Source organism: Homo sapiens, chromosome 6, assembly GCF_000001405.40.
Source record: "Homo sapiens chromosome 6, GRCh38.p14 Primary Assembly".
In the NCBI taxonomy this organism is placed as follows: Eukaryota; Metazoa; Chordata; class Mammalia; order Primates; family Hominidae; genus Homo; species Homo sapiens.
In genome coordinates, this window is record NC_000006.12 from 170,743,061 (window position 1) to 170,745,979 (window position 2,919).

Sequence of the window (2,919 nt, forward strand, 5' to 3'; positions counted from 1 at the left end):
GAAAGAACTTTATAAAATGGAATCCAATAATGAAGTATAGTTCATGTGCCTTCAGCCTACAGATTCTATTCATTTTCAAAGTTTTTACCTAGATTTGTGTCTTAGTCCATTTTGTGCTTCTGTAACAGAATACCTGAGGCTGCGTAATTTATAAGTAAAACAGTTTCATTTGGTTCACAATACTGGTGGCTGGAATGTCTGAGATTGGGCAGTTGCATCTGGCGGGGCCTCAGTCTTTTTCACCTCATGGTGGAAAGTGGAAGGGGAGCAAGGGGTGCACCAGAGATCACATAGCAGAAGTGAAAGCAAGAGGGAAGCCAAGGAAGCCAGACTCTTTTTAATTACCTGCTCCTGCAGGAATTATCTATTCCTGTGAGAACAGAACTCACTCACCCCCATGGAGGACATTAATCTATTCATGAGGGATCCGTCCCCATGACCCAAACACCGTCCACTAGGCCCCACCGCCCCACACTGACGCAGTGGGAGTCAAATTTCAACATGAGTTTTTGTGGGGACAAACCACATCCAAACCATCGTAATTTGTAGCATAAATTCTTTTTCACATGATGTATTCTGTCCTGGGATACTCCACATCCTGAGTAATTTGATTTAATTTGAATAGAGTTTGCTTTAACCATTTGGCTGTAAAATTCTGCATATTTCGACAAATGCATTGTGGCAGATATCCCACTATTAAAGTATCATATGGAATGCCTCAAACCCCCACCCCATGGAGCCAATGGCTTCCCATCTGTGTAGTTTGCCTTCCCCAGTGTCTCATTAAATGAGGTCACACTGTGTGTATCCTCCTCAGACTGTCTTCTTCCACTTAGCAATGTGCATGCAAGATTCACTCATGTCTTTGTGTGTGTTGATATCTTGTTCCTTTCTATGGCTAAATAGTATTCCATTACATGAATGTAGCACAATTTGGTTATGCATTTTGGGGAGTAGAACCTTCCTCTTCTAACTTTGTTCCAGGGTTGGAGACCTTCAAATTAACTGACAATAGATACATTAGTAGGAGAGACAATACTTGGCTTCTTGTTCCCCAAGTATCATTGTGGGACAAAATTCATCAGATGGCAGGATCCAGTTTACAAAGAGGTAAAAATAGCCCAGAAACAAGAAACAAGACTAGAATCTGATAACTCTCAATGGCTATAGTTTTCCTTTAAAAAATTTTTTTTTGAGACAGGGTCTGGCTCTGTCGCCCAGGCTGGAGTGCAAAGGTGCAATGTCAGCTCACTGCAACCTCTACCTCCTGGGTGCAAACGATCCTCCCTCCTCAGCCTCCTGATTACCTGGGACTACAGGCACATGCCGTCATGCCCATCTAATTTTTGTATTTTTGGTAGAGACGGGGTTTCTACCAAAATATTCGATTTTTTCTGTGGCAGACAACATTTATTTATTTATTTATTTAGAGACAGAGTCTTGCTCTGTCGCCCAGGCTGGAGTGCAGCGGTGCGATCTCGGCTCACTGCAAGCTCTGTCTCCTGGGTTCACGCCATTCTCCTGCCTCAGCCTCCCGAGTAGCTGGGACTACAGGTGCCTGCCATCACGCCCGGCTAATTTTTTATATTTTTAATAGAGATGGAGATTCACCGAGTTAGCCAGGATGGTCTGGATCTCCTGACCTTGTGATCCACCTGCCTCAGCCTCCTAAAGTGCTGGGATTATAGGCATGAGCCACTGTGCCTGGCACAACATTTAAAGTAATAATTGGAATTATGACTCATTACTCTATAGTGGCACATAGCATGGATAAGGAGGACATTGACAAACTTCCAGGAATTTTATATAATTTCTGAAAACATAACATTTTACCCATACAAATATAACACAGGGAAGGTTAGGTATCTCTTTTTATTTGTATCTTCTGTATGGTTTTCCTTATAAAAAATGCAACCTACTTTACTTGCGAAACATGCCCTACTTTTCTTGCATGCTTTGCATAGAGTTGTTTCTAGTTATTCTATTATTTCTAGTAGTTTTATTTACATATATTGATTATAATTTTAATACTTAGTAATCTTTTATTTTCCAGAGAAAACTAGGAAGTAGACAGTTATAAACTGTCATATATTAGCATTCTATAGTAGGTTAGAAAATGTATGAATATACCATCTCCCAACATCTAGAGGGATGTGTTTCCTCATAATACAATTCCTCAGTGTGGCAGAAAAAAACATGTTTATTAACGGGCCAAAATATCTTTAGTCTCTCTGTAAAAACAGGAAGCCAAAAGTATATAAACTTGAATTATTTATGTTCAGTAATTAATGTTTTAGTATTGTATCTTATTTATAAATGGTCTAGATATTTAATGCAAATCTTTTACTTAGCTTAACTTTAAGGTTAAAAATTACCAAAAGTACTTTGGAAACTATTCTTAGGCAGATTTACTGTAGACAAATTATTTTTGAAATAATGTTTTTCGCTTTTCACAAGACGGCACCGAAAGCGAAGGAAGCTCCTGCTCCTCCTAAAGCCGAAGCCAAAGTGAAGGTTTTAAAGGCCAAGAAGGCAGTGTTGAAAGGTGTCCGCAGCCACACGCAAAAAAGAAGATCCGCATGTCACCCACCTTCAGGCGGCCCAAGACACTGCGACTCCGGAGGCAGCCCAGATATCCTCGGAAGAGCACCCCCAGGAGAAACAAGCTTGGCCACTATGCTATCATCAAGTTTCCGCTGACCACTGAGTCGGCCGGAAGAAGATAGAAGAAAACAACACGCTTGTGTTCACTGTGGATGTTAAAGCCAACAAGCACCAGATCAGACAGGCTGTGAAGAAGCTCTATGACAGTGATGTGGCCAAGGTCACCACCCTGATTTGTCCTGATAAAGAGAACAAGGCATATGTTCGACTTGCTCCTGATTATGATGCTTTCGATGTTGTAACAAAATTGGGATC

General features: G+C 40.9%; 1 pseudogene; it reads left to right on the forward strand.

Annotated features, from left to right (window-relative positions):
- RPL23AP47 (ribosomal protein L23a pseudogene 47) lies at window positions 2,447-2,919 on the forward strand (annotated as a pseudogene).